This window comes from Homo sapiens, chromosome 11 (genome assembly GCF_000001405.40).
Source record: "Homo sapiens chromosome 11, GRCh38.p14 Primary Assembly".
NCBI lineage: Eukaryota > Metazoa > Chordata > Mammalia > Primates > Hominidae > Homo > Homo sapiens.
This window is the reverse complement of record NC_000011.10, coordinates 33,752,248-33,774,661: the sequence shown is the minus strand read 5'-3', so window position 1 is coordinate 33,774,661 and position 22,414 is coordinate 33,752,248. Positions and strand designations below refer to the sequence as shown.

The window sequence follows — 22,414 nt, the reverse complement described above, 5'->3', positions numbered from 1 at the left end:
GGCGGGGTCTCCAGGGAGCCGCACCTCAGCCCACCCTGAGGGCGGGGCTGGCCCGGCGGTTACATAACAAACCTGTGAGAGCGGCTGGGGGCGGTTCGGGCGCTGGTGGGGGCGGGGCAGGGGCGGGGCCAGGGCGGGGCCAGACCTGCACCGGGCCAGGCAAGATGGCGGCCATGGAGACCGAGACGGCGCCGCTGACCCTAGAGTCGCTGCCCACCGATCCCCTGCTCCTCATCTTATCCTTTTTGGACTATCGGGATCTAATCAAGTAATGGGACGACACGCATGGCAGGGGTGGGGGCATGGGGAGAGGAGGCGGTGAGGCAGGGGGAAAGGGGGTCGGGGCCGCTGACAGGACCCGAGCTTCCGCGACACCAGAAGGTGACGCCAGGGCCGCCCTCATCCTGCGGAGCCACCGGGGACCGGGGCGAGACGGGGGCGGAAAGGGCCTCGCCCTGAGTCTTCCTCCTGTCCTGGGCCCAGGTATGAGAAGCGACGAGATATCTCTCTCCCAGGCCTCGGTGAGGCCCACTTGCAAGAGAAGGAGGTAGTGGCCCTCGTGCCGCACCGCCGCGCTCCGCGGACCCCCGCTGGCCCCGCAGGTGCCCGCCCGGTTGGGGTCAGTCCCTGCTGCTGTGTAAAAGCCCCTGTCCCGGCCAGGCGCTCTTCTCTGCTGGGTCCGGGGCCTGCGGAGTCTGGCGCCGGGGTGGGCAGGTGGGTGAGCGAGAGGAGAAGATAGGCAACCCCTTACTCCCCTGGCGCGACTTCCCCAGCGCCAGAATCGCTGTCCGGGCTCACTTTCGGACTTCAGTGCGTGAGAATTGTTTTGCTGTCAGCATTGCTCCTTACGGTTCGATGTTGGATTTTATGTTTTGGTACTGACTTCCGGTGATGCCATACCGGTGACTATCTTTTCTCCTGGACACCTTGGGTTTCCCACATTACTAGCATCTGTTCCAGAAATAAACACCGGTTGCTGATAAGGGTGGTTCAATGCCCAGTTTCTTCAGAACTTGGGACTGTCTGGGGTGGTGGAAGAAATGGCGCTGCCAGCCCGCCCCCCAGCTGTCAGGATTGTTTACACCCTTGACAGGGGGTGGCATGGCTGTGAGTTTCCTGTGCTACCGTATATATTTGCAGAGGATGCAAAGTCGCCCTCTTAGGATAGGTGGGCGAGATTTGTTTTGTGTTTGGATTAACCATTAGATTCTAGCCATTTGATGATTGTGCCCTGTGTTATTAGAGGTCTTTTTATAAATACAGATTTCTTGGAGCTACAGATAGTTGTTGGCCTAGCTAAGTGGTGATAGAGAGATACCTCAAGTTTTTGGTCACTACCTGTACTGGTCGCTACCTGTACCTGCTAGCAATTTTATTTTTCTAGAAAATACTTACAATTTAACTAACAGTCTCCAACTTTTGATTGCTGCCAGAGTAATCTTTCCAAGACACATCTGGTTGTCATTCTCCTTAAAACCTGTGACACCCCTATGTTTATAGACTATAACCTAAACTTCTGGGGCATTGAAAGCTCTTATCATCTGGCTTGTATATCTAAGGTCCTCCAGGACTTATTTCTCCACCACTATCACATTTGCACCATCCATTCTAACCAAATCAGACCTCTGCCAGCATACAACACACTTGCACTTTCTTTTTTTTTTTTTTTCCTGTGGCTCAAGCTCTCGACCTTGCCTGGAATGCCTTGCCTACCTCTTCTCAACTTGGCAAGGTGGAGAAGATGCCCTCTCTACCTTCTTCCTGCAGAATTGATTTGCCATGTCAGGTAGATGGCGTGCTTCTTGATTGTAAGGGCTGCCTTGCTTATCTTCCTATTCAAAGATTTTTTTTTCCCCGAGGGCTTGCTATGTGCCAGTCTGTTAAGTGTTGAGGGTACAGTAGTGAACAACGCAGATAAGGCAACTCTTATGGAGCTTACAGTCCAGTGGGCAAGCGCATAATTGCAAGAGGTACTAAGTGCTGTGAAGGAAATAGATTGCTCTGTTAAGGAATAGGAAGTGAGAAGTGATCAAATCGGAAGGAGCTGCCATATATGAAGCAGGGCATATGCAGTTCTGGCAGAGGGAAAAGTATGTTCAGAGATTGACGGGACTGCTGAACGGTACTGTTCAACAGCATGGCCTGGTGGAAGATACAGAAGGCTGGCGTTGCTGGAGGTAGGGAGTGACTCACAGACAGTGATGAGATGAGGGTGGTGAGATCATGCAGGACCTTGGGAACCAAGGTGAGGAAGTAAGAGTTTACTTTAAATGCTTTAGGTAGTAATCACAATTTTAAACAGAAGTGACATGATCCCTCTGTAAATGTCTGTGGAAATAAATTGAGTTGAATACCATTTGAATTTTATCTACAGAAAAGTATCCAGTGTATTGCAGCTTTTTTCCTGCACCATACAGCCCAATTTTGTCAAGGGTCTAGTCTAGTGATAAGCTCTGAAGTTTTTGGTATTATTTGCTGAACTGGATTGGGTTGGATTGGATTAGTACACTGGAATCATGTAGCATCAGTTGCCTAGTTTGAATTGAGATGATCTGATACCCTCTCCATTTCAGAGTGATTTATTCTGAAATGGAGTGAATAAATGCCACACTGTGCGTCAGAATGACCTGTGCATCAGAATGGCCTGTGGCACTTTTTAAACATACAGATGCCTGAGGTACAGATCTCAGTCCAAACCGACTGGATCAGAATCTCTAGAACAGTAGTTTTCACTCTCGATGTGCATTGAATTCATCTTTCATGCATATTCCAGATTCTTTTATGTCATTTAGCTCCTAGGGCAGTGGAGGGACAGGAATCAAGAAGAGGGTATGGAAACTGAATGCACAAAACTGGAGGGATTCCTATGTTTACAAAAGTTAATTTGGGCATCTCCTGAGCTTGGCAGAAAAGGATGAGGATGATGTTTCTGTAAAATCTGAAAATCAAACAAAGGCAATTTTGTTTACTATAGATGGTTTTTAACACACCTTAGTCATGGCCTTGACAAACCTGATGTGATTTAAGATTCTGTTGATAGCTATTGCCCAAGTGAGATCTTTGAATACCTACTTTCAATTAATATAACTTGTAATTTCTCTCTGGAAAGGATAGAGTCCTAATCTTAGGTTCATTCTTTTTACAAATTAATTATGTAGGGTAGAATTTACAGGATTGCAACACTGTTGTGTTAGAAATCTTTATATAGTAAGAAAGTTATTTGCTTCTAACATTCGATGTTTTGGGGCAGCTGATAGCTTGTGTAGCCATGACTATTGAGTCAGAACTGTTACGATTCAGGCACCCTCTATAGGTGGACTTTCCAGTAGTTGCTTTAATGAAAACGTGGTTTTTGTGGCAATACTTTTTTCCTTTAAGTAAAAAATTTTAAAAAACAAAAATAAAAAGTCTGTGTATTTAGTAGCATACATCTTACAGATCTTGGGAAAAAACCCCAAGTCCCTTTGTTTATGACTAAATAACTTTCTTCCTATATGTAGAAATGAGTATTGTCCTGATAATAAGCATAGGACAACTCCTTGACTTGAGATTAACTCCAATGGCATATATGGTCTGTAGATATTTTTGTGAAAAATTACAGTTGTAGATGTTTCAGGGTTTATTTGTGAACTCAGTTTCACTACTAACAAGGCAATTATACTACTTAACATGTTAAACAGGTTTTAGAAAATAGTTTTGTAATTATAAGGGTAATAAGTGAAAAGTAAGAGAAACAAAAGGCATAAAACAAAACAATGAATATTTTAATCTTTATTTTTAAATTGTTTTCTTACTTTTTTAAATACTATCGGTGAATCTGGTTACTGCCAGCTGTTGTTATGTCAGTCGAAGACTTAGCCAGCTATCAAGTCATGATCCGCTGTGGAGAAGACATTGCAAAAAATACTGGCTGATATCTGAGTGAGTATTCGAGGAATATGTACTTCTGAAAACTGGCCCTTGGCTTCTTCCATAACACTAGTTTGTCCTGATTCTCCTCTCTAACCCTTGTCTCTTTATCTCCTTTGGTGGCTCTTCTCGTGCCTGCTAGTAAATGTTGGTATTTGCCAAGGTTCTGTCCTTAGCCCACTGCTGCTCTCCCTTGCTGAACTCTACTGCATGCATTGTTGCCGTTTATAGTGACTATCTGCATGCTCCTAACTCCCAAACCTGAATCTCCCTCCCTGACTTCCCCACTGAGGTCTAGAATTGTTTGCACAACTGTCTGCTGGACCTTTCTATTGGCTGTCCCACACTTATTAACTGGATTCAGTAAATGTTAACAAATTTGACAGAATCAAAGTACAGATGACAGAAAGTGGGAGTTGAGAAAGGTGGAAGAAATGAGTAGGAATGCTGATATCTTTTCTTAGATTAAGTGGAGTCAGGTAGTGACTAAAGTTGGTGAAGTAAGAAGCAGAGGTTTAAGCATATTATTTAAAGCTGCAAGCTTTAGACAGAAGTGAAAATTAATAACAGAGCTATCAAACATTGGGAGGAAAAAGAACAGGGTAAGGGGAATTTTAAGTATTGCTAGATCTTCCCGTGTTTCCCTTTGGGGTATCAGTAGATACATGTGAAGTTGATAAATCAAGAATTAGAGGCATAAACATTTAGAACTATAGAGGTAACTTCTAGAAATACCTAAGATTTCCTTTGAGGAGTTGGACTTAAAACAGGAGAATAGTTTTTCATCGTAAGTTCTTTGATACTTTTTAGTTTTAATAATCTATGTGTATATTATTTAGATTAATAAAAAGATGCTCCCCTTCCCTCTTCTACCCCCGCAAAAAAAAAAAAAAAAAAACCCACCCTGAGTTGTTCTTTTCCCCATTCCTAAACCTGTCCTTCAGCATTCCCAGTCTTCATAGCAGCATCATCCACTCAGGCATCCAGATCAGAATTAGGAGTCATCCTAGGCGTGTCTCTCTCTCTCTCCCCACTTCTCTCCCTCCTTCTATATTCATCACAAAGGCTTACCAAGCCTTTCTTACTAAGCTCGTTAGTATGTTACCTTAAGGCCGTCTGTGGCTGCCTTACCCTCTATCACTTCTGATTCTTAATTTTATACTTCATTCTTTCTCACTGGTTAGACTCTTACCTTTTTTGAAGGTAAAAAATGTGCCTTATTTTTTTATATCCTCAGTGGCTAAGTGGACACTCAATAAATGCTTGGGGAATTTTACCAAATAGGAATGTTGAATCATGTAATTACTTTCATGTTCTATGATTCTCAACTAATTCAGTGTAGATATGTGTTAGATTAATATTATTATATCACAAGATTCTAAGTATTCTCTAAAACAATACATAATGCCTTTAAAAGTTTATAATTGGTATATTTTTAAGAATAAGTTGAAATTTATACGTTATTACTATTCATATTTTATTAAAGATTAGAAAACTGAAAAAAAATAAGTAGAAAGAAAAGGAGAAAATGAGTGCCTAGCAATTCCACCATGCCAGTAGTAACTTTTGTTAAAATTTTTTTATGTATATATCACTTTTTGCTATCTGATCTTCATTTGTGGCTAAAATATAATGAAAAGGAAGGGAAAAGTACAAGTTTCTATATGTTGTAGGTATCTAAAATAAATGCTAATATTATTTTAAAAGATTTAAAATCTCATGTTTTTCATCTATTTAGGGAAGAGAAAACACAGAAGAATCAGTGTTGGAAATCTCTCTTCATAGATACTTACTCTGATGTAGGAAGATACATTGACCATTATGCTGCTATTAAAAAGGCCTGGGATGATCTCAAGAAATATTTGGAGCCCAGGTGTCCTCGGATGGTTTTATCTCTGAAAGGTACTGGGAATTCAGGGTCCCTTTCCCCGTTTCCATTACTGTTAGTATAAATAGGTTAGTTTAAACAACTTTGAATCTCTGTCATCTACGCAACTGTGTTAACCCAACTTTGTCTGTGATTTACTGTTCATATTTGGCCATGGAAGTAGGACCTTCACTCTAGTGCTTACCCTGTTTTTTCTCATCCTTGGGACCCACATGGTTATTTATCAGAAGGGAAAGCTGAACTTTTATCCTTATATTTGTTTTCTATTAAGAAAGTAGTAATGCTAAGATTGTGTGAGAGTAACTACGGTGATTTCTTTTAAAAGATTTTTTTTTAATTGTGAAATTTTGCCTACTGTATCAACACTGTTGATACAGTTTCAGTACAAGTTGATACTATTTTCAGTACAAGTAAATGTCTGATAGTCTAATATTCAGAAAGACCCTTGGTGTTTACCTGTGTAAGAGCAGCCTAGTAGAGTAAGGAAAACTTTTATCCTTATTTTGACATTTGCAAAATAGTAGAACTAAGATTTGAACTGAGGTCTGTTCAACTCCAGAATATGCTCTTTCTATTACACCATTATTGTCCAATTTTGGCAAGAAATATTAAGCTATTTCCATTAATTTGATTTAATTAATGATCATGAAAATAGACAGATTGTAGATTGATTGCTACTTACCTGCTTTACCCTCCAAGTTTTTTTCAGATTTCTACACTGAAAGGCATTGTATAGATGTTCGGTTTTGCTAAGCTAAAATTGGAATCAGTTCTTCTCAAATATTTTCTTCCCTTTAGAACTAAAGACTCTTTTGAAACAGTATTCCTTTTGCATTTTGTGTTTCCTCTCTAATTTCCCATGCAAATATTACTTTCATACAAATCACGGTTGCATGACGAGGTGCTTGAAACTGAATTGCTAAAAGGTAGAAGAAAGAATGATTTGGCAGAAAGAGTAGGGCTTTGAAGGAAAGTACCCTTGATTAATATTCTGAATAGCTCCTTTTCTTAGAAGAAACGAATAATACTATTTACTTGGTATGTAGGGTCGAATATTTCAAGAGGAAACTAAATCTGAAAATAGATATTTGGTGATGATAAGGTAAGGGCTTACAGTAGCTATTATTAATTAAACACAAAGCTAGGCACTGGCTAAGTATTTCTTGAGTATTACTCCATTTAATTGCAAAAGTCCTATGGGATAAATAATTACTATTCTCATTTTATAGGTGGATTACCCAAGGCATGAAAAACTAAGTAAGTTGTGGCCAGGCGCGGTGGCTCACGCCTATAATCCCAGCACTTTGGGAGGCCGAGGCGGGTGGATCACGAGGTCAGGAGATCGAGACCATCCTGGCTAACACAGTGAAACCTCGTCTCTACTAAAAATACAAAAAATTAGCCAGGCGTGGTGGCATGCGCCTGTAGTCCCAGCTACTCAGGAGGCTGAGGCAGGAGAATGGCGTGAACCCGGCAAGCGGAGCTTGCGGTGAGCCGAGATCGCGCCACTGCACTCCAGCCTGGGCGACAGAGCAAGACTCCATCTCAAAAAAACAAAACAAAACAAAAAAAAAACTAAGTTGTTTAACCATCACAAAGGAAAGGCAAAACCAGGATTTGGATATAGAGCAGACTCCAGGGCTATGATCTTAACATTGGCTGAAGGGAGACAGGACCTATCCTATTATGTTTGGAATGTCTTAGAATGTATATTGGACTAGAAGAGCTAGTTTAAATATTAGGACATTTGGAATATGATATGGTATATGGTTCTGCTCTTAGGCTCAGAGCTATCAAGAAGATAAAACTAAGGATATGTAACAGCTGCTGCTGCTGCTTGTTTTTCTTTTCCTTTTTTTTTTCTTTTTTTTTTTTTGGTGCATGAATTTTGGTAGTTCCAGGCTCCCTGTACTACCTAGCAGTTGGAAGTGAGGTTGTCAGATAATTCCTTGACAGCTCCTGTTTTACTCCACAGTGCCAGTTCTCTGGGGCTTTGCCATGAGTTGGAATAGGATAAAGGCTCTTTGATGTCTGCAGTGCTGTGGGTTCTTGGAACCCTAGGCTTACGAATTTTAAAACCAAGTCAGGAACCTAGCTGCTCACCTCAGCTGCCACAGTCTCTGATTCAATTGCAAGGTTATAGAGGTTGCAGATAAAAAGGAAAATCAGAAAGCAGATAGGCATTGGACTTGGAGAAATTTTTATGGAGCATCTTGAAATTAAGATATATTGTTGTCACATATTTTCAAATCTCATATTTACCTTAAGTTTTGGCTTAGAATTTTAGAGTTGGAAGGCAACTTAGAGACTGTTTAGACGAGGGGTTGGCAAACTTTTTCTTTAAAGGACCAGACAGTAAAATTTTAGGCTTTGTGGGACACATGGTCTCTGTCACAACTCTTCAACTCCGCTGTTGTTGTGGAAAAGCAGCCAAAGATGATGCATAAATAAATGAGTGTTGCTGTATTCCAATAAAACTTTATTCATTCAAGGAGGCAGCAGGCCAGGATTTGGAGTGTGGGCTATAATATGCCCATCCTGATTTATGCTAGTAAGTTGAAGAAACATACCCGGAGAGTTTAAGTGACTCATGCAAGGTATCAAACTAGTGACCAAGATACAACTCTAATCTAGGCTTCTTGGCTCCTCATAACTTTTTCACTGTTTCCTTCTATGAGTAGGTTAAGGGGAAAAGAAAGTAAATAAATATTTACTGAGTATGAGTAAAGCACTTTATTAATCCTCACTGTAATTCTCTAAGGTAGGTGGTATTATCCCCTTCTTGAGGATGAAGAAACAGGATTAAAGAGGTGAAATAGCTTGCTAGAAATCATGCAGTCAGTGTGTATCAGTCCATTCTTGCATTGCTATAAAGAAATGTCTGACTCTGGGTAATTTATAAGACAAGAGGTTTAATTGGTTCACGATTCTGCAGGCTGTACAAAAAGCATGGTGGCATCTGCTTCTGGGGAGGCCTCAGGGAGCTTTTACTCATGGGGAAAGCAAAGTATGAGCAGGCGTGTCACATGGCAAAAGCAAGATCAATAGGAAGAGGGGGAGGTACGGCACACTTTTAAATAGCCAGATCTCATGAGAAGTCACTCACTATCTTGAGGACAGCACCAAGGGAAGGATGCTAAACCATTCATGAGAAAAAATCCACCCCATGATCCAATCACCTCCCACCAGGCCCCCCTCCAATATTGGGGATTACAGTTCAACATTAGATTTGGGAGGGGACAAATATACAAACTATGTCAAAGCAGTAGAGCAAAGATTAACTCTAGTCTTTCTGCCTCCCAAATTCTATTACAGTTGGATACCTCTTTCAACCTTGATTTTACTGTATTGTAAACATACATTTCCTTTTAGTTTTCTTTTTGCCATGTCTATTTTTGTCTCTCTCTCTTCTTCAAGAAATTCTTAGTTTGTTAATGTTACATGTTAAGTGTCTAACATGTGGCACATACCATATAAATATTCGTTTCTTTCCTCATCCAGTAGTTCAGGTTGCCATTCAGCTTCGTTTCTTTTATACTAAAATTTCTCTTTTTTTAAAATGAACTTTTTATTTTGGAGTAATTTGAGATTTACAGAAAAGTTGCAAAGAGAGTTCAGAGAGTTCTATACACCCCTCACCCTTTACCCTTATATATCCCACTGTGGGACATTTATGAAAACTAAAACATCTTCATTGGCACATTACTATTAACTAAACTCCAGACTTCACTTGAATTTCCCCCGATTTTCCATTATTGTCCTTTTTCTGTTCCAGGATCCAGTCCGGAATACCACATTGCATTTAGTTGTCATGTCTCCTTGGTGTACTCTGATCTGTGGCAGTTTCTTTGTCTTTTATGACCTTGACAGTTTTTTTTGTTTGTTTGTTTTTGCTTTTGTTTTGAGACGGTCACTCAGGATGGAGTACAGTGGCATGATCTTGGCTCACTGCAACCTCTGCCTCCCAGGTTCAAGCGATTCTCCTGCCTCCGCCTCCCAAGTAGCTGGGACTACAGTCACGAACCACCACACCTGGCTAATTTTTGTATTTTTAGTAGAGACAGGGTTTCACCATGTTGGCCAGGCTGGTCTTGAACTCTTGACCACAAGTGATCTGCCCGTGTAGGCCTCCCAAAGTGCTGAGATTACAGATGGGAGCCACCGCACCCAGCACCTTGACAGTTTTGAGAGAGTACTTGTCAGGTATTTTGTATTAGGTTAGTGCAAAAGTAATTGCAGTTCCTCAAATCAGCTTCGTCTTGATATTTTACGGATGATTAGACTGGAGCTGGAGTTATGTTTTTTTTTTAGAAAGATAACTGCAGACGTGAAGTGCCCTTCTCCTCACATTATATCCAGCGGTACATGCTGTCACTAATGGTTTTAAGTAGCATACAGAAATAGGCACAAATTGTAAGTGCACAACTCATTGAATTATCACAAGGTAAACATGTCCATTGTAACACCCTCCAGATCAAGAAGTAGAATATTATCTGTACCTAGAAGCCCTCCTCATAGTCCTTCCCTCTTTCACAGAGGCAACCACTATTGTGATTGTTAATGCTATTGAGTAGTTTTCTTTTTTGAACTTTATGTAAGTTGTATGATTAAGTATTTTGTATGGATTATTTCTACTTTGTGAGATTCAATCTTTTTGAGTGTAACAGAGTTTGTTCATTTTGGCTGCAGTATAGTACTCCATTATCTGAGTAGACTATTCCTTCTACTGTTAATGGATATTTGGGTTATTTCTATTTCTGGCTATTACAAATAATGCTGTAAATTTTTATATACATTGTTGATGTCTCTATGAGTATATTTCTACTGGGTAAATATCTGGCATTGAGTTTGCTGGGTTATAGAGTTGCTTATGTTAAACTTCAAAAGATGGTGTTTATTTTTGAAAGTAGTTCTACCAATTTACATTCTTACCAGCACTTTAATGTTGTCATTCTTTTTATTTTAGCCTTTTTGGCAGGTGTATAGTGGTGGTTTTAATTTGCATTTCCCTAAGGATGTAGAATAATGACAGTTGTATTTCTATCTTTCCAAGCCTTATATATCATGTATTTCTTTTTCTTGCCTTACTGCACTGGCGAGGGCCTTCAGTACAGTGTTGGAGAGGAGTAATGATAGGATAGCGGGCATCCTTATCTTTCTGATTGCAGAGGGAAAGCTTTAAGCATTTCACCTTTAAATAAGATGTTTGCTGTAGGGTTTTTTTTTTTTTTTTTTTTTGTAGATATTCTTTATCAGATTGAAGATAGTCCCTCTGATCCTAGTTTGGGAAGAGGGTTTTTGTTTTTGTTTTTTAAATGGATAATTTCTATCAAATGCCTTGTCTGCATTATGATTCTCATGATTTTTCTCCTTACTCTGTTAATGCAGTGAAATGCATTAATTGCTTTTCTGAATGCTAAACCAACTTTGTATTCCTGGAATAATCCTACTTTGATTGTAATATATTATCTTTTTTATATGTACTGGATATAATCTGCTAGTATTTTATTGGAATTTTTACATCTATGTTCATGAGAGTTTGGCCTGTAATTTTCCTTTCTTGCAATGTTCTTGTCAGGTGTTGGTATCAAGATGATGCTGGCCTTATAAAACGAGTCGAGAAGTGTTGCCTCTTTTTCTGTTCCCTGGAAGAGTTTATGTAAGCTTGGTCTTATTTTTTGCTTAAATGATTAGTAGAATGCACCAGTGAAGCCATTCAATTCTGGAGTTTTCATTGTAGGAAAGTTTTAAATTATGGATTCAATTCCTTTATTAGATATAGGACTATTTTGATTTTCTATTTATTCTTATGTCAATTTTGATAAGTTGTTTTCTAGGAAATTGTCCACTTCATCTATTTTCAAATCTATTGACATGAAGTTTTTCATAATATCCTCTTATCTTTTTAGTGCTTGTTGGATCTGTGGTGATACCACCTTTTCCATTTCTAATATTAATTATTTATACTTTTGCTGTTTTTCTTCATCAATCTTGCTAGATGGGGTGAATTAATTTTATTAATCTTTTCAAAGAGCTGGCTTTTGCCTTTGCCAATCCTTTACTGTATGTTTGTTTTTTATTTCATTAATTTCTTTGATGTCTTCGCTTTGAATTTACTGTGATTTTTTTTTTTTTTCCTGACTTGGGATCATTGCTTAGATCATAGATTTTCAGCCTTTCTTATTTTTTTAAATGAATTTAGAGCTCTAAATTTCCCACTAAGCACATTAGTTTGTCCCATAAGTTTTAATACATTGTATTTTCATTACCATGCAGTTCAAAGTATTTTCTGATTTCTTTGATTTCTTCTTTAACCCATGAATGATATAGAAGTGTATTACTTAATTTCTAAATATTTTGGACTTTTAAAGTAATCTTTTAAATATAATTTATATTTTAATTCCACTGTGATCACAGGATATACTTTATGTGAGTTCAGTCATTTAAAATTTGTTAGGACTTATTCTGTGGTCCGGTATGTGATCTATTTTGGTCAGTGTTTTGTGTATACTTAAAAACAATGTATTTTCTGCAGTTACGGAGTTCAATACTGTATATATAATTAGGTAAAATTTGTTAATCTTGTTCAAATCTTCTACACTCTTACTGAATTGTGTATTTTGTCTGCCTGTTCTGTTAGTTATTGAGAGAAGTATGATAAAATCTATTGCTGTGGTAGGCAGAATTCTGAGATAGTCCCAAAATTCCCACCCACTGGTGTACATGCCTGGTATAATGATCTCTCCTTGAGTGTAGGTGGTACTGTGAAAATAACTGATTTTCTTCCATTAGATCATATTATATGAAAAAGGTGAAGGGATTTTGCATATGTAATTAAGGTCCCAAATTAGTTGAATTTGAGTTAATTATTAATCAAAAAGCAAATTATCCTGACTGGGCCCCACTTAATCAGATGAGCCTTTAAAAGGGACTGGGGGCCCTTCCAGAAGTCAGATTCAATGTGCCTCTCCTGTTGACTTTGAATAAGCAAGCTGGCATATTATGGAGAGGGCCACATGGTAGAGAATGGTGGGTGGCCTCCAGGAGCTGAGGGCCTCAGTCCTAAGGAATTGAATTCTGCCAACAACCAGTGAGCTTGGAAGAGGATCCTAAGCATACGATGCATAAGATGAGATAGCAGCCCCAGTTGATGCCATACTTTCAGCCTTTTGGGGCCTGAGCAGAGGATCCAGTTGAGTCATATCTAGACTCCTGACCTACAGAAACTGTGAAATAATAAGTGCTTTAAGCTGCTAATATTACAGCAGGAGAAAACTACAGCCACTGTGATCGTAGATATCTTTTCCCCATTTTATTTGTCATTTAAAAATATTTTTTAAAGCTCTTATTAGGTACATAAAATTAGAATTGTAACACCTGTGTAGTGAATTTAACCTTTTTGTTATTACGAAAAGTCCTCCATTAGCTCTAATAAAGTTGTTTGCCTTAAAGTCTCATTTCATGTGATTTTAGTAGAGCTACTCTAGCTTTGTTTTCTGTATTTACTTTAAGATGTGTCTTGTATATAATTTTTTGTTTTTTATCTGATCTGTTTGTCTTTTCATTAGATTATTTAGTCTATTCATATTTAATAGATTTACTAATGTGTTTGAGTTGAGCTATACCATGTTTCTGTTTTTCTATTTGTCCCACCTGTTCACTGTTCCATTTCTGTAATCTTCTTAATTATGTTTTATTCCATTCTCTTCTCCTTTCTTTTTTTAGTGATTATATTAGAGATTAAAACATTGCATCTTTGACTTTTTAAAGTCTAATGTAAATTAGTATTTTTTCCACTTCCTGGACAATGAAAGAACTTTAGAATGCTTTAACTCCAATCACCTCCTACCTGCCTTTTGATTTATTGTTTTTGTGATTTTGTTTTTTAACATATTTAATTTCCCTGAAAACATTCTTATTTTACATATTCAATATTCTTTTAGACTTACCTTCATATTTATCTTTTCTGGTTGCCCTTTATTCCTTCCTGTGTCTTCATGCTTCCATCTGGGATCACTTTCCTTCCACATGAAGAATTCCTTTTGGTATTTCTTCTAACTGCTGCTGCTGAATTTTTCTTTCATTTATCTAAAAATGTATTTATTTCATCTTCATTGTTGAAGATATATTCACTGGTTATAGGGTTTTGGTCAGCAGTGATTTTTCTTCATCAGTTTGAAGATATCATTCTTCTGACTTCTATTGTTTCTTTTCTTTTTAAAGACAGGGTCTTGCTTTGTTGCCCAGGCTGGAGTGCAGTGGCACAATCATAGCCCATTGCAGCCTCCAACTCCTGGGCTCAAACAATCCTTCCAGCTCAGTCTCCCGAGTAGCTGGGACTACAGGTGCGACACCATCCCTGGCTAATTTTTAAGGTTTTTTTTTTTATAGATGGGGTCTTGCTATGTTGCCCAGGCTGGTCTCGAACTCCTGGCCTCAAGCCACCCTCCCACCTCAGCCTCCCAAAGTGCTGGGATTACATGCATGAGCCACTGAGTCCAGCTAACTTCTATTGTTTCTGCAGAGAATTTAGCTGTCAGTCTTATTGTTTCTCTTTTGAAGGTAATTATACCCTCACTGCACCCACTACACTGCTTTTAAAATTTATCTTTGTCTTTGATTGTAGCAGTTTTCCAAGATGTATCTAGATAACTTTTCTTTGTAATTTTTCTCCATAGGGTTTATGGTGCTTCTGAATCATCGTTTGACATTTTCATCAATTTTGGAAAATTCTCTGCTGTTATCTCCAAATACTGCTTCTACTTCATTCTGCTTTTCCTCTCCCTCTGGGATTCTAGTGCACGTATCATAGACCTTTCTGCCATGTCCTCCCATATGTGTCTTAGGCTCTTTTTGTGTTTTTCCGTCCCTTTTTGTCTTCTGACCTGGCTTCCAGTTTATAATTCCCTCTTTAGCTTTAAAACTATGATTTGCTGTTAAACCCTTTCAGTGTATTCTTATTTTAGTTTTTGCATTTTTCAGCTCTAAGATTTCCATTTGATTCATTTTTATAGTTTCTAGTTCTCTGCTGAAATGCTCCATCTTCATTTAATTCATTGAATGTATCAGTTGTGGTTATTTTTAAGTCCATGTTTACTAACTCCAATAACGATGTATTATGGATTTGGTTCTATTTTCTATTTTTTCCTCTTTCTTTAGTCAGATCTTGTCTTGGTATAGGCCTAGTTGTTTTTAATTTATTGCTAGACATAATTTGAATTTTGGGGTAATGTTATTTTCTTCTAGAGATTACTTTTGCTTTTGGCTAGCAGCTAGTCAATGGGCAGATCACTGTAATGCAATCAGGGATTGACATGATTGAAAGCTGGGCTTTAGTCTTTGTGAGGACTAGTCTTATTTTCAGTTCATCCTTTTTCCTAGGATGTCAGTCAGAATCCTAGCCCAAAAACCTTGGGTTTTACCAGGTCCCTCTCTCCTTTGTGGACCCTGAACTCTGTTTGTTTTGCCCTCTAGCCCTGTGGTACTGCCTAAAGCTTTGCTCAGCTTCTTGGCCACTCAACCTCATATTTGCTTTCAGAATTGACAGCAATTCTTGTCTAAAGACAAGGTGGCTTCCGATGCCTGGCCCACCTCTCAGTCTCTCTCTTCTCCTGGACCCCTCTCCCCTACCGTTGTGACTCTTCGAAAGTCTTCAAGCCAATTTTTTGTTTTCACTATTCAGCAAGAGGTTTAGTCCAACAACCTGGTGGGCTGCTGCTGAATGTCGATCTCATCTCTTGGTATTTGTCATTATTTCCCACTTCTCAAAGCTAGAATATGTGGCAAGTTTACAAATATGCAAAATAGAGTTCAAGTTAATGGCCTCCTCACACATGAACCATACCTTATGTCCTATATTTCCCATTAAGAGTCAATGTTAAAACTCTTAAATAACATCAGTTTAGAGAACTTCCAGGGGTTTTGCTGTTTTTTTTTTTATTTTAAATAAAGCAGTATGAATATTTTAGATTTAGGAAATTTAGAGGTTTGTGTTATAATGTGAAAACATTATTGTGGATCTCATTGGTGCCCACTTTCCATGTTTTACTAAGTGCCAGTGTTTTCCCTGTTGGGAGGAAACTAAGAAATTTGCTTTCTCAGTGCTTCAAATTAGTTTTCAATTCATTTCCTTCTATTTCAGCCATATATTTTGGACAGAATTCACTCATTCCAAGATTGTTTCATTAGTTAGCAGATAGATTGCATTTCTTCTTAGATTTAAGGCTGTTTCTTCACAATTCACTCTTTTTTGTGCCTTTATAGAGGGTGCTCGAGAGGAAGACCTCGATGCTGTGGAAGCGCAGATTGGCTGCAAGCTTCCTGACGATTATCGATGTTCATACCGAATTCACAATGGACAGAAGTTAGTGGTTCCTGGGTAAGATATTCAATGTTTTGGTTATTTTTAATGATGCAAGTTATTTTTTAGAATGAAAGTAAATAAATTGTATTTGTAGTTACCCTTAACAAATTAAAGAAGCATGGGAATTCCCTCTTTCTCCTTTATAGCAATCCATAAGACAAAATCTATAGCTTGAATTAGATTTTACCAAAATAAATATATCTCATAAAAACACAATTTTTATCAATATATTTGTATAGTTAAAATGAAGTCTGGTATGGGATGGGGGATGGGACATACAGTAAAGGTATGTGCGATATATTTTAACCAAATTCTTCAGAACTCTTGAAATGTGTATCTTATTACAGGCCAGGCAAATTATTTTGGGAGCTTGACGCAAATTCTACCTACTATACATGTAAAGAGCAATCATTTGTCCAGAGCTGCATACACTACACTAAATAAAATTGTTTTGTCATATTAAACACAGTCTATAATTGAATGGCCTGTTTAAAATTTAATTCTAAAGAATGAAGTATTTATTGTGGAACTTTTTTTTTTTTTTTTGAGACAGGGTCTTGCTCGGTCCCCAAGCCTGGAGTATAGTAGCATGATCTCAGCTCACTGCAGCCTTGACTCCCCTGGCTCAAGCAATCCTGCCACCTCAGCTGTCCCAGTAGCTAGAAGTACAGGCGCACCACCATGCCCAGCTACTTTTTTGTATTTTTTGTAGAGATGGGGTCTTGTCATGTTGCCCAGGCTGGTCTTGAATTCCTGGGCTCAAAAAATTCCTGCCTCAGCCTCCAAAAGTGCTGGGATTACAGATGCAAACCACCCAGACTTTTTTTTTTTTTTTTTTTTTTTTTAAGAGATGGTGTCTTGGTGTGTTGCCAGGCTAGTGGTATTTAACTCCTGGGCTCAAGCAGTCCTCCTGCGTCTGCCTCCCAAGTAGCTGGGGCTACAAGCATATACCACTGTGCCTGGCTCAGCTTTTTTTTTTTTTTTTTAAGATTTGTTTTATAAACTTTTATTATTTTAAATTTTTATTTTTTTATTATTATTATTATTATTATTAGAGATGGGGTCTTACTATATTGCCCAGGCTGGTCTTGAACTCCTAGGCTCAAGGGATCCTCCTGCCTCAGCCTTCCAGCCACTATATCCACTTTACATTGTGGAACTTTTGGGTAAAAGTAGACCATGCAGTAGTCATCAAAACTCACCCACAGTTTTAGAAGGCATATATGCTTTGAATGGGTCTACTCCTTTTGTACTTTTATGAAAGTAAGCTATTTCAGAGACATTGTGCTTGTGAAATGCTAATAAGAATTTAAGGAGAACTTTGCACTGTTCTTATTGGAACCTGGTGTTCCTTTGTATGTGAAGAATCATGTGAGGCTCTGTTACAATTTCAGATGAGGGTTGAATGAGTACAGGGAATCCCAAAGGTGATCACATTGAGATTATAAGGTATTCAGAAGTCAAATCTTGGGGGCAGGGTGTGGTCGCTCACACCTGAAACTAGCTCTTTGGGATGCCAACGCAGGAGGACTCCTGAAGTCAGGAGTTCAAGACCAACCTGGGTAGCATAGCAAGATCCTGCCTGTCTCTATAAAAAATTAAGTTAAAAACAATTTGCCAGACTTGGTAGCATGCACTTATAGCTCCAGCTACTCAGGAGCTGTGGATCTCTTGAGCCCAGGAGTCTGAGGCTGCAGTAAGCACTGCACTCCAGCCTGGGTGACAGAACAAGATCCTGTCTCAAAAAAAAAGAAAGAAATCAAATACTAGGCATGGGTCAGACATAGAAGTCAGTTAGGACTAGATGACCCTAAATTATTGGCTATTTTTTCCTATTGAACTGAAACTTGACAAAGTTGAAAAACTGTCAGATTTTAAGAGCAAACAGGAGAGAACTTTGTTAGAAGAGTTGCCCAGAACTGACATGACCAATAGGTCATAAATTGCAACACAGGGATTTTTATCTATACATGGCTCAAGCATTGAGACTTAGGAATCTCATCAAGGAATACCTTGATACCTGTATTGCTATATATATATTTAATGAGATTAATCTATACCCCAGGCATCCAAGTTTTTGAAACTTTGGACAAGGTTTAAGCTGCTTTACATTTATACTGTCTGGTTGCATAGGGTAAGCTAAAGGTTGTATCAAGATAACAGCATCAGAGAATTTACTTCTTTAAACATTAAATTGGCCACACATACATGGCTAGCAAAACACCAGCAAATCAATATATCATGGCAGGATAGATTGTTGAAAACAGTAAAACTGTATTTCTTTTTAAAACATTGCCATTTAGACATTTAATTAATTTTCAATTTAAATCAGAATCTTTTTTCCAATCAAAAGAGTTTGAATTAAATATTTAGAAATTATAGTGCTTTGGGTATTCCTGATTTAGAATTGTCATGTTAATTAGTACTTATAAAGTTGTGAGTGGGAAATTATTATTCATCAGAAAGATGAAGCACAGCTCTTTGGCACTGCCGTGTATTACATGTTTGAGTCTGTATGCTCCTCAGGTTATTGGGAAGCATGGCACTGTCTAATCACTATCGTTCTGAAGATTTGTTAGACGTCGATACAGCTGCCGGAGGATTCCAGCAGAGACAGGGACTGAAATACTGTCTCCCTTTAACTTTTTGCATACATACTGGTTTGAGTCAGTACATAGCAGTGGAAGCTGCAGAGGGCCGAAACAAAAATGAAGTTTTCTACCAATGTCCAGTAAGTAGAACGTGTGTTTAAATATGGCATTAAGATGTGTTCTGATGGTTGTATAAATGCATGCATTAGGTATTTTCAGGATTGTAGAATGGGTATAGAATATTATGCATTTTAGTTATAGACCTCTCTAACTAGAGTTAATATTCTGACATAATGGCATGGAACCCAAGAGAAAACTTGACAGTTGGACATAAAAAACTGGTGTATATACAGAGGAAAAGCTGCAATTTGTCTTAAGGTATTTTAAGGAAAATTAATGAGGAGCTTTTTGTTGAAGTAATTAATTGTAATATGTGTTTCAGACTTTCCAAAAATTTAGCCTTTGAACATCCTTTGATTCATGCTTTGAGTGCAATAGAAACTTTTAAAACTTTGTTCAGTGGGTATTTGATGTATCGAAAAATGTAGTTCTTTTTTAGGAGACTTTTATTGTTTTAATGTAACCACAGAAAATATGGTATTGGTTTCATTTAATAAAAATGAAAAAATAATTTTCAGTTATCAGTAATTTCTCAGTTACACAACCTCTGCCTTCATTTTTGCCTAGATATGAACTTTTTACTTAAAAAAGGAATTTAAAATAGAAAATTCTAAATTTTGGCTGGGTGTGGTGGCTCATGCCTGTGATCTCAGTACTTTGGGAGGCTGAGGCGGGTGGATCAACTGAGATCAGGAGTTTGAGACCAGCCTGGCCATCATGGCGAAACCCCACCTCTACTGAAAAAAAACACACAAAAACTAGCCAGGTGTGGTGGCGCATGCCTTAGTCCCAGCTACTTGGGGAGGCTGAGGCAGGAGAATTGCTTGAATCCGGGAGGCGGAGGTCATAGTGAGCTGAGATCGAGCCACTGCACTCCAGCCTGGGCAACAGAGCAAGGCTCCCTCTCAAAAAAAAAAAAAAGAAAATGCTTTTCATAGTTGAGACATGTGACTCTATATAACATTTTACATATTTAAAGAGCTTTTATAGCTTTAACTTTTTAAAGCATTTTCATACTTTTTATCTCATTTTTTTACTTGATGTCTCTGTAAGGTTGTAGGATGGTAGCTTGGTCTCTCCATTTACTGAAAGAAATGAGTAACCTAGAACTGTTCGGATCTCTTGACTCTGATTCAGAACCCTTTCTTCTAGGATAACAAGCCATATATCTTCTTATCTCAACTTTATTTTTATCTGTTTTGCCTCGTCTCCAGGGAAAGATACAGATAATGAACAATGAAAAATTAAGTAAAATGTGTTTTTATCGATTGTATTCTTTTTCTCACCTAGGACCAAATGGCTCGAAATCCAGCTGCTATTGACATGTTTATTATAGGTAGGAAAGAAAAAAGTCTTTTTTCCCCCTTCTTCTTCTTCCTGGATATAATAAAAAAATTAAAATGGTAAAAACTTTTTCAGCTACTTTAGCAGCTGGCAATTTCATACTTGGATTTCTTTAAGGTTTGCTGGTTTATAAAGTACTGCATCTAGGTTTTCATTAGAACCGTTTTTGTATTGAATATTTTTAATTTTGAAAAAAGCTAGTCCATATACAATCTCATGCTCTGAGGACTCTTCTATAAGGCAATGAAATATGTAGAAGTGCTGTGAATGTGTATATATTTTTCTTAACATGCACATGTATTATTCATTATATTCATGTATAATTGGGGATACAGATATATAAAGCAACTTTAAACTTTTTCTCTTTTGGTGCTAATGCAGTAGCATTAAGATACTAAGTCACATTAGAGACCTCCAAAGCAAGTCTTTAGGGACTAATATAAACTCTATGCCTTATAAACTCCTTGGTACAACTAGTTTTTCTTGGCCTTAAAAGAGTATTTCTTATAGGTTTTGAGAACCCTTCAATTTGTAAGTAACTACAGCTCACCCCTTTGCTATTTATCCCGTCTTGGCTTGTTTGGATTTTGATCATCCAGAGAAGATTCCTCCAGACTGTCCATTTTGCTTTTTAAGGGTACTGACTGACATATATTAAACATCTACATATATGAATAGTAAAGAGTCCTTGTAGACTGAGGCATTTGTATTCACTTCTGTCTTCTCATTGGAACTTTGAACAATGTATAAGTCTCTATTTGTTCCATACTATGGCACATTCCACGTTCATGGTGTACTTCATAATATCAAGATCTCACTCTTACCTAGTAAGTTATAAAAAGCTTTTAAATGTAGGTCCTAGGTTTCAGCTCACTCTGACTCATGTGGTCTCTGGTTTCTAAGTTAAGCACTCTCTGGAGGTTTTTCCTGTGCTCATTGCCCTCGTTGTTATTTTTGCATAGCACACACTTTCAGAGATTACCATAGTGGCTGTGGTCCAGCAGTGCTACTCAGTTTATAAATGGAAGGCAGCTGAGTGCTAAGGTAAGCTGCTGCCCAGCCTCTGTGAGTTCCTTACTCTTAGTTTGGTGCTCGTCTGACATGGTATGTAGAACCTCACCACTCCAGCAGAGTACTAAGGTGTAATAATACTATGCCAGTAGCTGGGATTTCTCTTAAAATGGGAGAGCAAAGCAAAAGATTGAGAGACACTGAGAAGAGATGAGGTGAGAAGTTAATGCAGGGAGGAAGGATGAAAAAGGAGCTTCCTTTCAGCTGCCTTGATAAAGCTCCAGAACCATCAGAGAGACCCCAACACATGGGCTTACTTTAAAAGGTAAATTACCTTAGAACATATAAATTGCATCTTGATTCAACTAAGTTTGCTTAGACTGGTAACACACAAAATGGCATATCCTGGTGTTCAGTGTACTAATAATAGATATTTAAGAAACCTGGAATCTGTCAGATAAGTTTAGTAGTGAATGCTGCCTAGTCTGTCCTCATCTTAAAGAATACACTCTGGTACGTATTGTAATAAAATAAGGTAGATTAAAATACACCATGCCAATTTTTTTTATGCAAACCACAAATTTGTTTTTAGTTATATAACTTTTTTCCACAAAATATACATATATATGATTTTTAAAAACTCTTTCAGAGAAAGTACTAGTGCTAAAAACGTAAAATTATACCTTCTATGAATTTTAATGACATTATTTATATAACTTCTTAATATCTTACTCAAAGTAGGTACATGATCAGTGAACCTTGAATACAATAGTGTTTAATAAATATTGGGTCAGAATGGGTCATTAATAGATATTGAGGAAAGAGCCAACTATTATAGTTTGCCTTCTCTCAGTTGATGCCTTTTAAAAGTTTAAAGCCTTGTACCCTTAGATATAAGCCAAATTGTATCTTTTATCATTCCCTAAATAGAATAATTAGTAAACACTATAAATTTAGCATCTGACATTCAGTGTGACAGAGTGTAGAAACTGGGTTAATTGAAACCAGATTACAAAGAAATTCATTGTTGAACAACATTAATTAAAGGACTAATACATTCCAGGCACTGAGATGTATTAACAGTAAATAATGGGGGGTCTGACAGAGTTATGTTAAATATTACCTAGAAGGGGTAAACATTATTAATTCATGTAAATACTTGTTATAATCCAATCATTAGATCACAGA

The 22,414-nt window shown here is 37.9% G+C and overlaps 1 protein-coding gene across 5 annotated transcripts in view, besides 6 other annotated features; it reads left to right on the top strand.

The window, feature by feature from the left end:
• Window positions 50-149: a silencer, noted in NCBI's record as "silent region_3243". NCBI's record gives its function as "represses an Ori minimal core promoter by ATAC-STARR-seq in GM12878 lymphoblastoid cells {active_cell/tissue: GM12878}" and the evidence as "EXISTENCE:reporter gene assay evidence [ECO:0000049][PMID:35858748]".
• The window catches only part of FBXO3 (F-box protein 3), a 33,577-nt gene continuing 11,304 nt past the window's right edge, over window positions 142-22,414 (top strand). For 4 of the 5 annotated variants that reach the window (NM_012175.4, NM_033406.4, XM_011519980.2 and 1 more), the window contains exons 1-6: window positions 142-268; window positions 3,832-3,921; window positions 5,648-5,811; window positions 16,061-16,175; window positions 18,687-18,891; window positions 20,162-20,207. In NM_012175.4, coding sequence (NP_036307.2) covers window positions 165-268; window positions 3,832-3,921; window positions 5,648-5,811; window positions 16,061-16,175; window positions 18,687-18,891; window positions 20,162-20,207 — 724 coding nt within the window. In that variant the 5' untranslated portion in view covers window positions 142-164. Of the gene's footprint in view, window positions 269-3,831; window positions 3,922-5,647; window positions 5,812-11,375; window positions 11,457-16,060; window positions 16,176-18,686; window positions 18,892-20,161; window positions 20,208-22,414 lie in introns of those variants that run through there. The other variant, XM_047426752.1, reaches the window with a different exon arrangement.
• Window positions 610-679: a silencer, noted in NCBI's record as "silent region_3242". NCBI's record gives its function as "represses an Ori minimal core promoter by ATAC-STARR-seq in GM12878 lymphoblastoid cells {active_cell/tissue: GM12878}" and the evidence as "EXISTENCE:reporter gene assay evidence [ECO:0000049][PMID:35858748]".
• Window positions 610-1,128: a biological region, named in NCBI's record as "H3K4me1 hESC enhancer GRCh37_chr11:33795080-33795580".
• Window positions 628-1,128: an enhancer, noted in NCBI's record as "H3K4me1 hESC enhancer chr11:33795080-33795580 (GRCh37/hg19 assembly coordinates)". NCBI's record gives its function as "activates a minimal SCP1, AML or CMV promoter by ChIP-STARR-seq in primed H9 embryonic stem cells {active_cell/tissue: H9 hESC(primed)}" and the evidence as "EXISTENCE:reporter gene assay evidence [ECO:0000049][PMID:30033119]".
• Window positions 2,005-2,299: a silencer, noted in NCBI's record as "tiled region #12829; HepG2 Repressive non-DNase unmatched - State 19:H4K20". NCBI's record gives its function as "represses a minimal TATA promoter and a strong SV40 promoter by Sharpr-MPRA in HepG2 cells {active_cell/tissue: HepG2}" and the evidence as "EXISTENCE:reporter gene assay evidence [ECO:0000049][PMID:27701403]".
• Window positions 13,029-13,088: an enhancer, noted in NCBI's record as "active region_4585". NCBI's record gives its function as "activates an Ori minimal core promoter by ATAC-STARR-seq in GM12878 lymphoblastoid cells {active_cell/tissue: GM12878}" and the evidence as "EXISTENCE:reporter gene assay evidence [ECO:0000049][PMID:35858748]".